Here is a 19,800-nt window from a genome sequence, read left to right as displayed (position 1 = left end):
TATGCTGAACCTAGAAATCTTTAAAAAATTCCACCTTTCACTTCTGTAGTGCCTGCGGCCTTGGGGCCTCAGGACAACTTACAAATTATTATGATGGTCGCCATGTGGATGGCAGAACAGCCAGTGGACAAAGCACGTAAGCACTTTCTCCCCTTCCGGGCAGTTCTGTGTGATGACACAGATACCAGTGAGAAGAGGACAAGAAAGGGGGAAAAGGAGAAAAAGAGAAAAAGCGAGTAAACAGGGAAGTTGTTTGAAAGTTGTAATAATATTTCAGTCACATAAACACACTCCAAATCCACATAAAGTTTCCCTAAAAGGCATCATTCTAGGTTACTTTTTAAAAAGATCTTGGCCAAGGAGCCCCTACAGTAATCTCTCATATTTAAAAATCCTCTAATGGACTATTTAATTTTTTTCAGATTTCTAAAGCAAGATTTTTGTCCACTTGAAACTTACTCAAATTTTTCTTGGCCTCACCCTAGAAATGTCTTTAACAGTAAAACGATTTCCTGTTCAAGTGATGGGTGCACCAAAATCTCAGAAATCACCACTAGAGAACTTATCCACGTAACCAAACCCTACCTGTTCCCCCCAAAACTATGAAAATAAAAAAAGAAAGAAAAAACACAAAAATGAGCTCAAAAAAATTTTTGCTGAAATATATTTGAAACATATAGATAAGAATAGAGGATAATTTAAGAGATATTCATATTCCCACCACTTAGCTTCACAAAATCTTAACATTGCTTTATTTTTTTAAAGAAATAAAACATAAATATATATAGTAAAGTGATTTCTTAATTAAAGATTTTTTAGGTCTGATCATTTTGAAGTCATTTTAAAAGCTCATGCTTTTGAAATGCACAAAAATTAATGCAAATTTGAATTAGCAAATTTATAAACAGTCTTCAAATATGCCAATCATAAAAATCTGCATTTTAACTTTATAATTAACTGTTTATACTAGCTAATCAATTAATTAAGAGCTATGTGCCAGGTATGATGGTTTATATACGTTATCTCATTAAATTATTATAATAATCCTGTGAGGTAGGTACTATTACTATCTCTATATTACAGATGAGAAATCTAGGGGGCAGAGAGGTGAAATAAACTTGGCCAAAGTCATGTAGCTGGACAGCGGCAGAGCTAGAATTCATGGCCAGGTAGTCCATACTAAGATGATAATAATACTTTGCAGTTTGGCTGATTAATGCTCCTTGTAGATAGTAAAATGACATCAGAACACTTCAATCTAGCTCCCACTATGACCAAATATTATAAATTCTGAAATTCATAACTTTCCAACATTCCATAATGATAGCTTAATAAAATAGAAAAGAAACCCCAATGAAAACACAGTCTAACTGAAATTTGACAGAAAACAGCAGGTTTGTAAACTGTGATTGTTTTGCTACTAGAGATTTCTTGAATGAAGTTGTTAAAGAAATAAACCTAACATCAAAATTGAAGGCATTTAGGTCTTCCATTCTCCTTGTTTCTTCCTTGTATACATAACTTACTTCATCCACCTTTCACCAATATCCTTTCATATCAGCCCAGGTGGCAGTAACCTTAAGGCAGTGAGAGATATAGTCCTTTAACAAATGGTAATTGATGGTAAAGGTACCTTCAAGAAACATAAGGGCTAAGCATGACCAACCAGAGCTCGCCTACATCAGTGCAATGACTCCTTAGGATCTTTTGGCACCAAATTCCTGTAGGTATTTGATTATAATCGAAAGGAAGTCTCAAAACAAATTTTTTTTTTGAATACCCAAGCATCAATGTACTCTGAGTGTTCTAAAAGGAAGGCAACACTTAGAATAAAAAATTATTTATTTAAAAATCTGGTGAATAAAAACTAGATTTATGGACCAAATGCACTATTTGTGGTGTGACCTTGGACAAGCTACTTAACCTCACTGAGCCTCAGTTCCCAAAACTTTAATATGGAGATAATTTTTACTTCATGGGATCATTAGAAGGATGTAAAGAGATACACAAATTTATAAAACAGATTAAAACAAAGGTACTCTGATTAAGGGAGTAAAACGTTTAACAAATTCTGACACAGTAACAAGGGAATGATGTCTATTATGGTTTCAACTATGTATAATAAAAATATTTTGTGTTGATAAGATAACTCTTTATACTATGGATTTTATAGAAATGCTTGCTAGTATTTTGAGAACTATCTGAGATAAGTTGCAATATTTTGGTTGAATGGTAACTGAAGGATGAGGGTATAAAAAGTGCTCAAACATATAAAAGCCAGTAGGGAACACTCAAGGTATCAAAACCTTACAACAATTCTAACACTCTTAGAACACACTAAATGTTCTTAAGAGGAAAAAAAAAATCAGAGAAGTATGCAACTTGCCTTTTTAAAAATGCCTTTGGGAAAGTAGAAGAAAAGATTTCACATAAGTAATTTCGTTGTCAAAATAACATTCCCAAACTCTAAATTCCAGTTCCTAATTACCTGTTGCTCCTGCTGCTGCTGCTGCCTTCTGTGTTTCTTAGCTGGTAAAGGAGGAGGTGTGTCATTTAAAGGTAAAGGATCGACAGATGTAGCCATGAATTCAGGCCATGGGGCTGATGTATGTTGAGTGATAGGATGAGGAGAAAGAGCGGAAGGAAACACAAATCCAGAATAGACAGGTGATCTTTGCTTTATAGGAGAAAGAAAAGGTATATATGTGTCCACATGAAATGAAAGAATAAGACATAGAAATGAAATTGATAGTTTGTTCTGTTTTGTTATATTTTAATTAAGAAGTTACAATTGATGGGCAATATCTTTCAATTTAGCCTCTTATTAAAATCCCACACTGTAAGCGACTTGGATCACTGAAGGTATTTTAATTTATTATTATTGACCCCTCCCCTAGAAGGCTTTTAAAAGGCCTAATATTTAAAAGCATCCATGTTACAAAACAAAATCGAAAACAAAGTCAAACTGAAAAGGCAACTCAAATCAACAATTTTAGAAAGGCTTTTTAATTTATAAGAAAACTAAGTTGAGTTAGAGTGCTAAGACATAGAACATATTTCTTTGACTTACTTCTCCTAGTACTCCACTCCGTAGCATAAATTTCATGGTTTCTAGAATTTTTTATTGGCAGAGCATTACCCCCAAATTGGTATACTTTATAAACTCAGCCTTACCCTACCCCTCTGGCCAAACAGATATACATTTGTCATGCACGTTCTCGTGGACCTCATTTTCAGTTGGCCGTGGGTTAATTTCTGACATGAAGAAAAGCAGTGAATGAATGAAACGTCATGCCTACACACCTCTTTACTCTGTGGCTGGCTCGCCAGCACAGCTGTGGCAGGCTCAGTGGCAACAGCATCAGCATCAGCAGGAAACTGAGTGGAAGGGGATAGATTCGTGGAATTGCCACACGGCTCATTAATCTCATTTACACTGATATAGCCCTAAAAGGAGGAATTCAGAAGTTAAACACAAAGAAAGCAAAAGCTGAGGCATGCGAGAGTATTAATGTTCCCAGTACAATGAAGTTAGCTTAGAGCGGCACAGCCAGATATCTGTGGTATTATCAAATGTTTCATTAAAGGAATAATCAGCAATTAAAATGGATTTACATTGCTTAATCTTGAAAATTGGCATTCTAAGTATTAAACATAATTTTTCTGATGAAATCAAGATAACTGTAGTATAAATAACCCAAAATCTTCTATTTTAAAATATCCAGAAGTATCAGCATTCATTCTGTTGATGGATTAAGGTTGTCAACAACATATACATTTAAAGTAATAGCACACCAAGATGTAATAGTACACCAAGATGTAAAATTGACAATGCAATCACTCATTCCCTAATTAAAGAGCCTTTCCGACAAATCTTCATTCTTAGATTTTCACCGTTTCTGTTTCCTGATGAATTAAAGTGTGAGGAAAATGGGCTGAGGGCTACTGGGTTTTACACTAAGAAAACATTTTTAAAACAGTAATTATTTACAGTGGGTTCTAGCTTTTGGGCATCTCAACCAAATGAGAATAAAAATAACACTGTCCTTTCATGCAGGTGAGTCTTCCCTAACAAAACAAATGTGTGCATGCACAAACACACAGACACACATGCACACACACACACACACACGGAGTCCTAAGGTAGAGTTGCAACCAGGGTATGTTTCAATTCAAGGCAGCCTCCCTAACCCCCATCTCTACCCATAGGACAGAGAATTTCCAGTTACTTTTGAACTCAATAATTCAGTTCTGGCTTCAGCTTAGAGAAAATACCCACGGATCAAAATATCTGAGAAGCAGAACTCCCGAATCTGTGGAAAAGGCACTTGTCAATTTTCATGGAAAGTAATTATACAGACCAATCATGATTTTCACCACCCCAATAAAACAGTGTGAAAAAGCTATATAAAATAACACCTCTCTTTTAAAGCTGAAATTGAGTTAAATTTGACATAAAGATTCTTCCATGCCTCCATCAATCCTTTTACAAATTTTAGGCTGAAAAATAAAAAACCTTGATTTTTGGTAAAAACCTTGAAAGGGTTGATAACAAAGTGGAGAATGCTAGAGTTGATTGTTTATAAATTGGATGTGTCAGAGACTTGCACTTCAGAAGGCAGGATAGATATCACGTAAAGTTTTATAATGTTAAACTGAAGAAAAGAAGTAGTCAACTAGGTCAAGTTCATTCAATATGTAATACTGAATCAGAAAGAAAATGAACAATTTTGAGTTTTTCTTTTGCTCAGTTAATAGTCGACTGTTTTGAAGCCAAGTTTTAATTATTTATATGAGTCATAAACCATACAATTTAATTAATTGCTTCAAAAATGTAAACTGCTTTAAAACCTGGGAGGTCTTTAAAAGAGGTTATAAATCAATCACCCCTTTAAAAAAGAAAAAGGAGAGAGAATGAAAGAGAGAGCAGAAGAAAAAAAGAAAAACATCTTGTGAGTCAAGTCTGCTTTGTACAGGAAAGTGAACACACAGCACAAGAATTGCCATGTGTTCTCATAGCAACTCATTGTTGTACTCAACAAGCAGAAGAGTTGCAGATACACAACAATAGTAAAACAAACTAAATGTGCTTTTGACATCAGAATGTCTGCAGGAAATAAAGAGCAACTCATTAACAGAAAAGGAAAGACTTCATTCTTCTATTAGGAGACGAAAAGACTTTAGAGCCCATCCAATTCATCTGGATGCCACAAGCTCTTCAAACTCTGTATGTCCAGAGTCAACTCCAAATCTTCCCTCTTAAACAATTCCTTCCCCAGTTTTCCCTATCTCACTAAAAGGTGCTTACCATCTACTTCATTATTCAAACTGGAATAATGGCATGATTCCGGACACCTTCCTTTATTTACTTCATCCCAACATCCAATCTATCAGCAAGAACTGTGAACTGTCAACTCTACCTCCAAAATACCTGCTAATCCAGCTAACTCCTTCTATCTCTCTGCCATCCTCCAATTCAAGCCACCAGCATCTCTAGCCTATGCTACTGCAGTAATCTCCACAACAATTTCCCTGCATCTCCCTCTCTTACTTTTTATGATCCAGTAGTCACAGAGCAGCCCAGAGTGATCTTTAACAAATGGATAGCAAATGTCACCTCCCTGCTTAAAACCACTTAAAGGCCTCCCATTACACATGCAGTAGACCATATTTCTTTAACAGACTCACAAGACCTGCACCCTTACCCACCTTGCTAACATTGTCTTAGGCCATGACATTCCATTCACAACCACGCTTTGTTCATTGAACCTGACAGTTCCACGTTCCGAATAATGAAAAGAAACTATGAAACTGAATGATCTAATAAAGCTTTGGAAGAAATATTTCACAAAATGCTTCTGAGGTACACATATAGTCACACTTAATATTGTGATGAGCATTTTGTTTCATATACTTACACACACAAAAATATTTTCTATGTAAGAGTCCAAACTCCACTGTCTAAAGGGTTTTTTTTGATTGTGCAAACACGTAAGTAGAAGCAAGCTTTTCTTTTAGCTTTTTAGAAAAACAATAAGTATAAGGAATATAAATATAGGCTGGGCACAGTGGCTCACGCCTGTAATCCCAGCACTTTGGGAGGCCAAGGCAGGCAGATCACCTGAGATCAGGAGTTTGAGACTGGCCTGACCAATATGGCGAAACCCCGTCTCTACTAAAAATACAAAAATCAGCTGGGTGTGGTGGCGGGTACCTGTAGTCCCAGCTACTCAGGAGGCTGAGACAGGAGAATTGCTTGAACCCAGGAAGCGGAGGTTGCAGTGAGCTGAGATCATGCCAGCCTGGGCAACACAGTAAGACTCTGTCTCAAAAAATATATATATATATAAACTATTTTTTTTCTCAGTTATAATTTTCCAAATTAGAGTTAAAATATTCTCCCAGTGTGGCAGTGTAGTTCCTTAAGATATCTGGTGGGCAAAGTGGTGATGGGGACTGGGGAAAGGTGGATATTGGAGATAAAGAGTATGTACAGTTTACTGTAAATAGGACTTTCCAGTTTAGAGGGGAAAATGGCAGAAACAACAGTTGCGGGGGTGGGGAAATAGGGAAAAGAAAGAAACCAGACCACCTTCTAAAATGTTTGCAGGCATTTTCATGTTCTGTAAGACTCAGGAGAAGGAGAAGCAAAATAAGAGAGGGGAGGGAGAAAGGAGACTCAGGAAGGAAAAAGGAGAATTTAAGACTCATCTTGGTCTGGATCTTCAAGTTTTTGAAACCCCAGATTAACCCACAATGTCACCACCCAGCAAAGTAGACACACACACACAAACACACACATACACATACACACACACAATGTGCATCTGCATTAGACACAAGGATAATCTCTGAAATCCTCAAAGCATACATAATGAAAGGCAGGGAAACCATCCAAGCATTGAGTGCTTTCACAGGTCCTTTGAGTTAATATTTTTATTATTCAGCTAATCAAATAAAGCTGAAATACATCTCCTGATTTCTAAGGCAACATAAAGCGACATGTAAAATCATAGCTTACCTCTTTTAAAGTATTGGGGTTAACGGGAAACCCTTTCCCCCCAGAGAGGCTGGAGTATTTCTTTTCCAAATTACAAAGATTCTCCTTTTCCTGAAGGAATACAAAACCTATTAAACTTAAAAGTCAACCTTCGATGCAACTGAGAAGCATGGTGACTTTGCATTAGAGACTAACATCAGATTCTCACATATTTCCCCCATTTCTATTTCCTCTCATCATACTCAGTCAAAATTTCAAATCTGTATACTAGAGGTCATCTTCTGCTAGCTGATATGCTGCATGAGTTGTTTCCAAACATACTTAGCAATATAACCTTTAATTCCTAATAAATTTTATAGAGTCATTTAAAAATGTGTTTAAAATAAAATTTTAAAAACATTATTTTCAGCCAGGTGTGATGGCTCACGCCTGTAATCCCCAGCACTTTGGGAGGCTGAGGCGGGCAGATCATGAGGTCGAGATTGAGACCATCCTGGCTAACATGGTGAAACCTTGTCTCTACTAAAAATACAAAAAAATTAGCCAGGCGTGGTGGCAGGCACCTGTAGTCCCAGCTACTCAGGAGGCTGAGGCAGGAGAATGGCATGAGGCGGAGGTTGCAGTGAGCCGAGATCGCGCCACTGCACTGCAGCCTGGGAGACAGAGCAAGATTCTGTCTAAGAAAAAACAAAACAAACAAAAAAAAAACCAACAAAAATTATTTTCTAATGTCTTTTTCTTTTAATCCTTCCAAATAACACATAATTGTTGATGATGTAATATCACATGATGTTGTTGATGACATAATATCTGATGATGTAATATCACAACCCAGTGATATATTTTCTTTTGGGAACTTTATGGTGTTAGCTTTTACATTTGTCTATGATTCATCTTGAATTAATTTGGTATTAAGCAACATTTATGGGTCACTTTTTTATTGTGCTATAATTTGTATATGTGTCCTTGCCATGGCTGGGGCTAAAATATTTTTAATTAAAAAAAAAAGTGCATTCAGTGAAATGCATAGATCTTAAGTATATAAATTTATGAGTTTGAACAAATGGAATAATATCCTAGACAAGATAAAGAGCATTTCTGTCACCCCAATCATTTCCTCATGCCCCTACCTGTCAACTTCCACCCTTATGAGCAAGCATTGTTCTGATTTCCACGGCCTTAACACTAGTTTTGCCTGTGTTATAAAGTGTTTGCCTACTTATAAAATGTAACCACTTTATATAAATGGAATCATACAATATGCATTCTTTTGTGTCAGCCCTCTTTCACTCCATGTTACAGGCATCAGTAGTTCACTGTTTTTTATTGTTGAGGAGTCCTGTATTATATAAATATACCTAACAATTTGCTTATCCATGCTCCTATTGATGGATATTTAGGTTTTCTAGTTTTGTTTTGTTTTGTTTACTATTATGGAAAAAACTACTTTAAACAGTCTTGAAGAAGTTTTATATGAAGACATGTTTTCATTTATATTGTGTAAATATCTAGAAGTGGAGTTGCTGGGTCATAGATGGATGTTAAAATAAACTTCTATAAAGTTCTGTGAAAGGACTGTATATTTTACACTCAAGTCAGCAATGTATGAAAGTTCTAGTTGCTTCATATTCTTGTCAACATTTGAGATTTTCACTTCTTTAGTCATTTTAGTTTATGAGATGGAATTAAATTGTTGTTCTAATTCATATTGCCTTGATGACTAATGATGAGTATTTTCCCATGTAACTTTTCGGTTCTTCATATACGTTCTTTGGTAAAATCTTTATTCAAGACTTTTGCCTGTTTTTTAAAAAAATTTATTGATGTATTGCTATTATTATTGATGTGTACAGGTTCTTAATATGTTGTGGATACAAGTCTTTTGTCATTTCTTTTAAAAATTTTTGCTTACTCAAGGCTATAAAAGTAAACTTTCACTCTTATATTTTGTTCTGGAAGCTTTATCATTTTAATTTTTATATTGAGGTCTCTGATATATCTTGAATGAATTTACATATATCATATGACAATATTGAGGTTTACTTTTTTTTCCATGTTGACTCAGTTGATCCAGCATCATTTCTTTGAAAGAATTGTTTTGGTGCCTTTGTCAAAAATCAAAAGACAGTATATATGTATGGGTCCATTTTTGGACTTATAGTTCAGTTTCATTGATCTATTTAATATACATGTATTTGTATGGCAGTACCACCCTGCCTTAAATGGCTCCAGAGTAAACCTTGAAATAAGAGTACAAATCCTCCAACTTTGTTCTCGTTCAAAGTTGTTTTGGCTGTTCTAGGCTCTTTGCATTTTCATATGCAGTTGATTATTGGTGGTAACTATGTTATATAATTTTGCCACGAACACTGAAATTAGTGAATACTGAACCACTGCCCCTAAAACAATACAGGGTTGGGTTCCTGCAAGCCTCTAGTCACAATATTTTCATCAACTGATCAATACTGAACTTTGTTTCATGTGTGTTTCCGTTTGAAGACACTTACTTAATATTACATATTATATACCATTATATATTAATATTAACATATTATACTATATATTATTATTTGTATATTAAGATATATATTGCTGATTCATTAACCTTGAACTGACAGTCAGCAACACTATAACAGCGTGAATGAAGTTCATCTAAGACACGTATTTTCTCCATAAGGCCCTTCACAGCCTTCTTGCATTTAGAAGCACTTCACTGCACTTAGTCACTATGCTTGGGAGGCATTTTATGCAGCAAATCACCAACAAAAAACAAAAACGTAAAAACATGGCATTAAATAATCCACAAAAATAACACTCATTTACAGTATGAGAGAGAAAACAAGAAGGCGGGATGCTCCCTTGTTCAACCTCAGCTGGGAATGTGCATATTGGCCAACTCAAAATTTTCACCACTCCAGGTATTTCTGTGAATGACTGCAAAAGTGCCACAAGTATCAATTTAGAGGTTACAAATACATTTTAGCAAGTAGACATAATCACAAACATAGAATCCCTGAATAATGAAGATCAACTGTAAATTTTAGCATCAACTTGTCAATTTCTAGAAAAAAGTCTGTTGGGATTTTGATTGGGATTAAAATGTATCTATAGATCAGTTTAGAAAAATAAAAATCTTAATACTTATAGACCACAATTTTTACAATCTAATTGTATCTTATATATTTTAATAGGAAAATATTATATCTGTGATTGTGCTTACCCATTTTATAAAATCTATCACTGGGAGTTTTTCTCTATTTTGGCTAAAATTTTAAATATTAAATACTACATATTACACTATCTAAGTTAACCTGTGACTTTGAATATTGTGTTCCAAAGGTAAAATAGTAGTGAGGATGCTAATGGAAACAGATTTCATCCCCAGAGCAAGGGATAGAGAGGGAAAATACAACTCCATTCAGAGACTTCGAGGTGGGAAAAAGAGGAAGATGGAAGTTGTCAGAAATATGTGCGGGCTGCTGGGGCACCCCAAATGGGCTTATAATTCTATGTGAAGGATCTATTTCCTCTCTCTTCTCCTTTTGTTTTGTTTTGTTTTGTTTTGTTTTTTTGAGACAGGGTCTCACTCTGTTGCTCAGGCTGGAGTGCAGTGGCATGATCTTGGCTTACTGAAACCTCTGCCTCCCAGATTCAAGTGATTCTCCTGCCTCAGCCTTCTGAGTAGCTGGGATCAAGGTGTGTGCTACCATGCCCAGCTAATTTTTTGTATTTTTGGTAGACATAGAGTTTTTCCATGTTGGCCAGACTGGTCTTGAACTCCTGGCCTCAAGTGATCTGCCTGCTTCAACCTCCCAAAATGCTGGGATTGTAGGCATGAGCCATGGTGTCAGGCCTTCCCCTTTCCTCTTAACCTAAAATAGCTAAGAAGGGAATGAATACTCATTTATTTTAGGTGGGACTATGGTACAGCTTCATCCTTTAATACTTCCTTCTGGATTTGGTCTTTCTCTGCATGCCATTCTCATGGTCCCAAGTGTCATATTGCTAATGCAGTGGCATAAATGCAGGGTTCAGATCTGAGACTAGCCCCATTAACTTTAATGTTTGGTGTCTTATTGCTGAAATGATACCGGGGTCATGTCAGAGAGTTAGGCTACGGCTTGCTTTTCAATGTCTTTGGGCAAAGAAATCCCTTTACAGGTAGTCACTTTAGGTGTTGGACCAGAAGAGGACATAGTCTCTTTGGTGAGGATGATCTTGCCACCCCTTGACCATACCATATGGAGTTTCTACCTACCCAATTAATTCAAACTAAATGCAATGTGACATTTGCTAGAAAGACCCATGAACAAATAACTAGAGTTCAAAACACCAGATCAGCTGGGCCAAAATATTTGACAGTAGTAAAAAGGACATTTTTCCTTAAGTCCACCCTAAATTGGTGTTAGAATGCATTTTAACTATTTGATGAATGGTATGACTTTTTTAAAAAAGAGGAAAACAATCATTTAAAAATACAGACTTTCCATCGTTAAGATTTTTACAATGTGAAAAAAGCATGAAGAAAACATCCTTGCTTATTTTCTGAATGCTAGTTAATAGTTCAGAGTATCAGCTTATGAATGTGGAGGATTAAATAAAAAAGTATATAAAAATCTTCCTTAAATTGTATAGACATTCACTATTAAAAGGTGTTTACTTTAAAGGGGGCAATTTCCCTGAATTTGGAACCTATGTTTTACTGTAGCCAGTGCTGAAAAGGAAATACTTACTCTTTGCAACATCATTATTAAATTATTCTTTTCTTTCACAAAATGATCTTGCTCTCTCTGAGCCTGCTGAACAATGTGATTGGCTTGCTTTTTCAATGCAGAAATTTTTTCCTGGAGGAAAAGAGATGATCATAGGAAGATGTACATTAGACACTCAAAGGTTTGCTAGTCTGTCCTAGAAAAGGGAGAAAAAAATTTTCACCACTGGAATAACAGTGACTACATTTTAGTTGATGGTGGGCAGTGATTATTACCAAGAGACTGTGAGGCATTTCTTTGACCTGTCAGCCTCAATACTTTCTTTACTGAAGGCTAATATAGATCGACTGATTAAAAACCTATCTTGAAGAACCCAGAAGTCAACAGGAAATCTAGTTTTAGGCTATCGATGAATTTTTTACAACATCTTGGGTACGCCTCATGAGAAAAAAACAATGGAATTTCTTATTTAAACTGAGAGTTTAAGAAAACACCTTCTCTTGTCTTTCCTTTCCTCAATTTTATTGGTTTAGTACAGAGCCCTGGGTATGATTCTAAATTCTGGAACAAAGTTGAATTCTGGGCTGGATATCTAAGTGCTAGGGGTTGGGTGGAGTCAGTAGTAATCCACATGGCATTCTACTTCTAATGGTAATAAGCTATCAGCCAGTTTTGAGAACTACTGAGCAATGAAAACAGAGAAAAATCCAAAATAGACTTTGTTCATAGAATTATTCTGAACCCAGTTACTATGATTGCAAAAAGAAATAGTTTAAAACCAATATCTGAATTCCTGATTTTCTATGCCTTGGTTTTCACGTGAATGAAACAATTAGGTACTATTCATAAATGCATCTACAGCATTATGTAACAACTGTAATATGTCTCAATTTGTCTAATTTGGAACACCATTTGCCACATACATGGCAGACTACGTAATCTGTCAAATGTGATATTCAGACAGACATATGTCATAGCTATGTTAAGCAGAAATATATTTTGATTTTTCACATTGAATGACACCTGGAAAAAGTACCTTTCTAGAAACGATGTTCCGTTGATATTCAGCAACTTCACGCAGGAGCTGTTGAGTCAAGTTCTCCTTTTCTTCATCTAGACGGCTCTCATGTTCAAGCTGCTGGAACTCCAGGTCTTCAAAGTGTTTGCTTTCAACATCCAACAGGTCAGCATCCTTTGGAGAAAAGTGAATGAAAACAAGACACACTGAGATAACTACCACCTTCTTAATGTGAAGAAACATTTATTAAAAGCAGTTGGTCCAAGATATCTTTCCAGTTACAATATTGACCAGGGTTAGAACATAACACTATCTTTTGGAGTTAAATCCCAGAACGTGACTGTTAGAGGGAATCGAAAAGGCAGCATTTATTTCACCCTCAGTTTTAGACTTCTCTGTGGAGGTAAGAATTCTTGCGTTAAACCCACACTGGGTGGCTTTAAAATGGAGAAGGAAGTACAAAAACAACTCAGTAAATAACCTAAACATAATCTGCAGTCCAAAGGTGTAACATAGCGTTACAAGAAAATTCTTCTTGGCCAGGCGTGGTGGGTGGCTCATGCATGTAATCCCAGCACTTTGGGAGGCTGAGGAGGGGGGATCACCTGAGGTCAGGAGTTTGAGACCAGCCTGGCCAACATGGTGAAACCCCGTCTCTACTAAAAATACAAAAGTTAGCTGGGCGTGGTGGTGGGCACCTGTAGTCCCAGCTACTTGGGAGGCTGAGACAGGAGAATTGCTTGAGATGGAGGTTGCAGTGAGCCGAGATTGTGCCATTGCACTCCACCCTGGGCGACAAGGGTGAAACTCTGTCAAAAAATAAAAATAAAGATAAAAATAAAAAAAGAAAGAAAGGAAAGGAAAGGAAAGGAAGCTCTTCTTTTCTTCAATTTTTCATAGAAAACAAGACTAATGTGGAGATTAAAGAGTCAAAAGTTGGCACACGTACAGACCAGAGGTGTCTAATAGGGATACATGTATCCCAGATGGTACACAACACAATCTGCTGGACTGTGCAGAAAAAAATTAGACCCCTTTCATACTCGTTTTTAATTGTTTATTTTCTTTTTCAGTTTCTCAACATATGTTTTCTAATGTATACACAAGTAGCATAGTATGTATACACGATTTTAAATATATACATTCTTTGGGCATGCACACTATATATATTTATAATAATATGGATTATATATCATATATCTACAAAGGAAATGCATGCTCTAATAATTTTATTAAAGGGATAAGCAATCAAAAAACTTTTGGACATGGGCTCTAGGTGATGACGATGTGTCGGTGGAGGTTTAGCAATTGTAACAATTGTACTGCTCTGGTGGAGAATGTTGATAATGAGGGGAGCCTACGCATGTGCAGGGGCAGAAGGAATATGGCAAATGTCTGTAAGTTCTGCTGGGTTTTGCTGAAAATATAAAACTGCTCTAAAAAATAAAGTCTTTTTTTTAAAAATTGAAAAGTGAGGTTTTAAAGCCAGGGTTCTATGAGCCCATTAAAAATATGTACACACCTTTTTACTGGAAAGTGTAAACAAAGCTTTTATGAGGCACAAAGGGTGACTCAAAAGGTTAAACACCACCACTCTCAGAATAATCTTGAGGACATTTAAGGAAGATCAGAAATTATGAAAATCAGATGGTCTAGAAAAAGCATTCTCTAACCTATGAGGTACTTGAAGACAGGAATATATTTATGCATCTGCATTCATGCAGAGATTGATGCATGTTGTATAGATTATTCTCTAATATACTTTTTGTTTAAACACCCTCTTATTTTTGGAGTCTTTAACATTATTTATAAATCGCGTATGTTTAGGAAATTTCTTTTTCTTTTCCTTTTTTTTTTTTAATTTTTTTTTTTAGAAGACAGGGTCTTGCTTTGTCACTCAGGCTGGAGTGCCATGGCACAACACAGCTTACTGCACCCTCGACCTCCCAGGATCAAGCAATCTTCCTGCCTCAACCTCCCAAGTAGCTGGGACTACAGGTGCACACCACCATGCCTGGCTAATTTTTGTACTTTTTTGTAGAATGGGGTTTTGCCATATTGCCCAGGCTGGTCTCAAACTCAAGCAATCCACTCACCTCAGCCTCTACTCACATGGATCCACTCACCTGGGATTATAGGTGTAAGCCACCACACCCAGCCAGATTTTTTATAAATATAACCTACACATAATCTACATCCAAAAGGAAGAGGCAGCTGGGCTCTGTGGCTCACAGCTCTACATAGCTAACATAACCAAAGCATTTTTTGGTTGTTCTTCAATCAAATCATCAAAGAGAGTTGGATAAATAATTATATGCTAAGTTATTTCTATATCGATATTCAACCCCATCCCCACTCTGGTTTTTATATTAATGATAAAGCAAGCTTTATGATAAAATGAAATGTATTTCTATCTTCTGCAATGACTTTTACTCTAGGGATGATTCATAGAAGAGCTATTAGCTACTGAGTAATTAGCAACAAGACTATCATGTCAACACAGACAATTCTCAAAGCTTAAGAACAGGAAAAACACAATTTGAAAAACATATTCAACATTTCTTAACACTTCTTTACATTTTATTTGGCTCCAAAAAAATATGTGCTCAATTTCAAGTGTTTGGTTGACATTTCAAGTTAATCAGACATTTCAAATTTATAACTTCTAAAAGAATTAATGAGTTAAAAGAATTAAGGAATTAAGAACTAACTCAAGTGTTATGGCTTAAAACAATATCTTCTGTTTTGAAATAATACACTGGCTGACATAATAAGCACATACACTCAAGTTTATAAGGTCTTCCAATTAAGCTTGATTTGTGTTCAAAGATTACTGAGATTTAAAAAAAAGGAATAAGCCCTTTTTCTGGCTTATAAGTAATCTTCATTCAAAGTGGCCATATGACTCAGAATATATACACTTTGCTAGTCAGTTGCTTACTCCACATCTGGCTAATATGCAATATGTGTTATTTTAACCCTGCATGAAAGTCAAAGAATCATTCATTTATTTGTAGTAAATACTTAAACCACTGCATGAAAATAATGGCATACTAAGTAAGAAAGTTGAAAATTAGGCTAAGCTCAGCACTCAGACTCCACTGACATAATCATCTGATCAAGTTATCTAAACCATCAAAATGTGTGTATATAAACTTACATCTTAAACAAAAAACTATTAGGGAGAGGAATAAAAACTTTTACAAGATTTTATGTATGAATAAGAAGTCTGGGAATGGAATTTGGGGGAAGGAATAGTTTAATTGAGCACAGAATAATATACACAGGAAGTTCAAAGTGAAGTATGTATGACTAATTGAATGAAAATTTTAACTATACTTCACTCACTAAAAGAGCATTACATATCTCTACTGGATGGCAAGCTCAAAGGCCAGGCATGAAGGACCTAAAACAGCTGCACTAAAGGAAATTCTGTGCAATTTCTTTTTTCTTTCCAGTAACTTTTTAAATAATGTATACGGCAGAAGTTTACATGCAGTTCTTTATGTTTTCTTTGCCTGATGGAGGGACAGGAAGAAGAGAATAGATGTGGTATGACCAGGAGAAATTGCAGTAATAACAGCTCATGGCCAACTCCAGAAGCAAATTTAAATGGGGCTCAGGGTTTTGTTAACTTTTACACTTTAACTACATACTTTTGGAATATGGAAAAAGACAGTTGAAATAATCTAGTCCAACCTCCTTGAGGTGATTAATACTGTCAACCTGATTGGATTGAAGGATGCAAAGTATTGATCCTGGGTGTGTCTGGGAGGATCTTGCCAAAGATTAACATTTGAGTCGGTGGGCTGGGAAAGGCAGACCCACCCTTAATCTGGGTGAGCACCATCTAATCAGCTGCCAGAGTGGCTAGAATATAAAGCAGGCAGAAACAAAACAAAACAAGAAACAACGTGAAAAGACTAGACTGGCCTAGCCTCCCAACCTGCATCTTTCTCCTGTGCTAGATGCTTCCTGCCCTTGAACACTGGACTCCAAGTACTTCAGTTTTGAGACTTGGACTGGCTCTCCTTGCTCCTCAGCTTCCAGACAGCCTGTTGTGGGACCTTGTGATTTTGGGAGTTAATACTTAATGAACTCCCCTTCTATCTATCTATCTATCTATCTATCTATCTATCTATCTATCTTATATACACATATATCATATTAGTTCTGTCCCTCTAGAGAACCCTGACTAATACACTCCTTATTTCATATATGAGGATATTGCAGCCCATAGAAGTTGAATGACTTGTCCAAGACTAATGGATAAACTAATTTTATAGCCAGTGACAGTAAAAAGGTCTTTTAATTGTAGATCACTGAATAAAATTTTTTTAAAACATCAAGATACTCCCCGACTCTACTAAAAATATGAAAAATGAGCCAGGCATGGTGGCAGGTGCCTGTAGTCCCAGCTGCTCAGGAGGCTGAAGCAGGAGAATGGCGTGAACCTGGGAGGTGGAGCTTGCAGTGAGCCGAGATCGCACTACTACCCTCCAGCCTGGGTGACAGAGCAAGACTCTGTCTCAAAAAAAAAAAAAAAAAAAAAAAATCAAGATACCAAAATCAACCATTCATTTGAGTAAATATCAAAAGCACAAGAAGACAGTTACCTGGCTGGGACAGTTTTCTTGTGCTTTTGATTATTTACTCAAATAAAAGTTTGATTTTGGTCTTGATTAAAAAAATTTATCCAGTGATATCTACAATTAGTAGACCTTTTTTCTATCACTGGCTCTAAAATCATTTTATCCATTAGTCTTGGACAACCCATTCCAACTCTATGGGCCTAAATATCCTCATATATGAAATGAGAAGGTAGGATGAGATTATTTCTATTATCTTTTTCCACATGAGATGAGTTAAATGACTCATTTTCATTTAACATCAGTTTTCTTTTCTACACTATTAGTAACCCAGGGATTGCTGTGCCCATATCAACTACCAGATTGGTAAGGCCATGTTAACAACATACCAACCACAGGCCACAAAACCAATATCAGATGAAAATAATATTCAGACTCTAACATCATGTTTAAAGGTAGGAAGACCAGCCACAAGTCATTATGCTGCATGCACAAAATCATTCTACAATTTCAGCTGAAGTATTCAATATGCAGTTTAATAAAATAACTTTCTTCTTATTCTTTTATTTTTTACTTTGTGTGACTTACCACCTAATGAAGCTATTTATAATAAAACAAACTTTATTAAATCTAGTTTAAATGCCCAAGGGAAAGCTTTGTAGTGAAGTCATATTTTGAAGTGTTTGAAGTCTAAAGGGAGATAAGCTGTGATAACACAGAAAGGTCCTAAAGTGAACTTTAGGACTTACTTCTCATGAAGTAAGTGAACTTTTTACTGATTAAGCCAAGGCATTGGTGAAGAGTTATACTGGTCGTCATCCTTGAAAAACAGAATTAGTAGACCTCTTAATATAAGGTGAACTGCAGCCATCACAAGCCAGTTATCTCTCCTAAGGAAAGAGGTTTTATAAGAATTTTACACTCTGGAGAGGAAAGGGAAGAAGTCTCTGCCTTCAATTAATGGAAAAGACTGTCTGCATCATTTCCTTTCCTCTTTTGTAGTCAGAATCTTTGGAACATATAACTGATATTATGAGTTATCCTACAGAATCTAGATTAAGCTAAACAGTATTTATGTTAATCATAATCCAAGTTGTGAATAGAGTCTATAAATTTTTATGTAAAGCAATGTTTATAAAGAACACAATAAATGGATAACCAGAGGAAGGGAAGGACAAAATATACAACTATGCTGCTGACTGTAAATAAGGAATTCCAATGACTGTGTAAAATCTTTAGTGATAAGGAGAGTTAAAATGTAAGCAAATGTAAAAAAAATCAGTTTTCCCATCTCTTTTGTTAACTAGCATAAACACAAGCAAATTACAAACTGAAATTACTTTACAAATACTAGTTTTCTTCCAATCATTTTTATCATAAAATTTTCAGAGAATTGTGACTGAGAGGCAGGAAGTTTTATCTTCTTACAACAAATTCAGCTGCATACAATAAAAAGAGTAAAGGGAAGACATATGGTTAAAACTTTCTTTGCTCCAACATTGTAAGAAATAAATACTAAAACTATTATGCTGCAGTTTAAACAGCTGCATTGGATTCTCATTATTAAGATGCTCTCAACTTCTGCAATACATTGAAAAGCTTTAACTGTTATTTTTTCACCTAGTGACGTTCTCAGAGGTAGCAAATATTTTTGTATTAAAGGTCATCTTAAGAACGTTTAAGGATGTGCTATCTCAATAAATTTTTCAACCTCCCCATTCCCAAGAAGGTACAAACATAATAACATGGATGAAACTAGCTTGTTATACTCAGGTAGAATCATAAATTGTTAATCACTCAAGACAAATTACTATTACGTGACTCTTTCAGATATCCAAGACTGTTAACGACTGCTTCCCCAGAAGGAAGCAGTTTACTGGGGCTGCTGTTCAAAGGAAATGACCCAGTTGCCAAGAGGCTATGAAATATTAAGTGGCTGTGCCAGTGTTTGTGAAACTATCCACCTAGGAAGTCTTGCTTTCAGAAGATAACCAGTGTGGTTGTGTTAAACGCTGCCAACCTTAAGGATCAAAGAATAACTTGATAAAGCTTAACTAGAAAGTCTATGCTGCATTAAGTTCTTAGAAATTATGAAGCTCACATGAGATGTTGAGGGCATTTGTAATGCCCTGCATCTTGGGTCTTGGTGTTTAATTGTTGGGATTGGGCTAATTAGTTCAATGTCACTAACCAGCAGAAAGAAAAGGAAACACAAAAGAATAGCTGCTGGTGGGGAGCAAATCAGAAAATAGGATAATCTGGGGACAAGAGTCTAAAATCAAGCTAAAGAACAAAACATTCAAGGGTAAATAGGATTCATGATGCAGCAGAGAATGCAGGGGAAGAGATCAGTTAATACAAATGCTATAATGTTGATGTTGGTTACAAATCAGAAATAGCTTCTTTTGTCACAAAAAAAAATGACTCCAGAAATGGTTTTGCATTAGAAATTATGTGAAGGATTCTAACAAGGAATTTTAA

General features: G+C 35.8%; 1 protein-coding gene across 4 annotated transcripts in view; it reads right to left on the bottom strand.

Moving 5' to 3' along the window:
- Positions 1 to 19,800, bottom strand: part of PHLDB2 (pleckstrin homology like domain family B member 2) — a 244,022-nt gene that overhangs the window by 24,139 nt on the left and 200,083 nt on the right. For all 4 annotated transcript variants that reach the window (NM_001134437.2, NM_145753.2, NM_001134438.2 and 1 more), the window contains 4 exons: positions 12,749 to 12,904; positions 11,734 to 11,844; positions 7,022 to 7,111; positions 3,304 to 3,447 (listed from right to left, as the gene is read on the bottom strand). In NM_001134437.2, the coding sequence (NP_001127909.1) occupies positions 3,304 to 3,447; positions 7,022 to 7,111; positions 11,734 to 11,844; positions 12,749 to 12,904 (501 nt within the window). The remainder of the gene's footprint in view (positions 1 to 3,303; positions 3,448 to 7,021; positions 7,112 to 11,733; positions 11,845 to 12,748; positions 12,905 to 19,800) is intronic.

This window comes from Homo sapiens, chromosome 3 (genome assembly GCF_000001405.40).
Source record: "Homo sapiens chromosome 3, GRCh38.p14 Primary Assembly".
NCBI lineage: Eukaryota > Metazoa > Chordata > Mammalia > Primates > Hominidae > Homo > Homo sapiens.
This window is presented reverse-complemented; position numbering and strand designations above follow the sequence as displayed.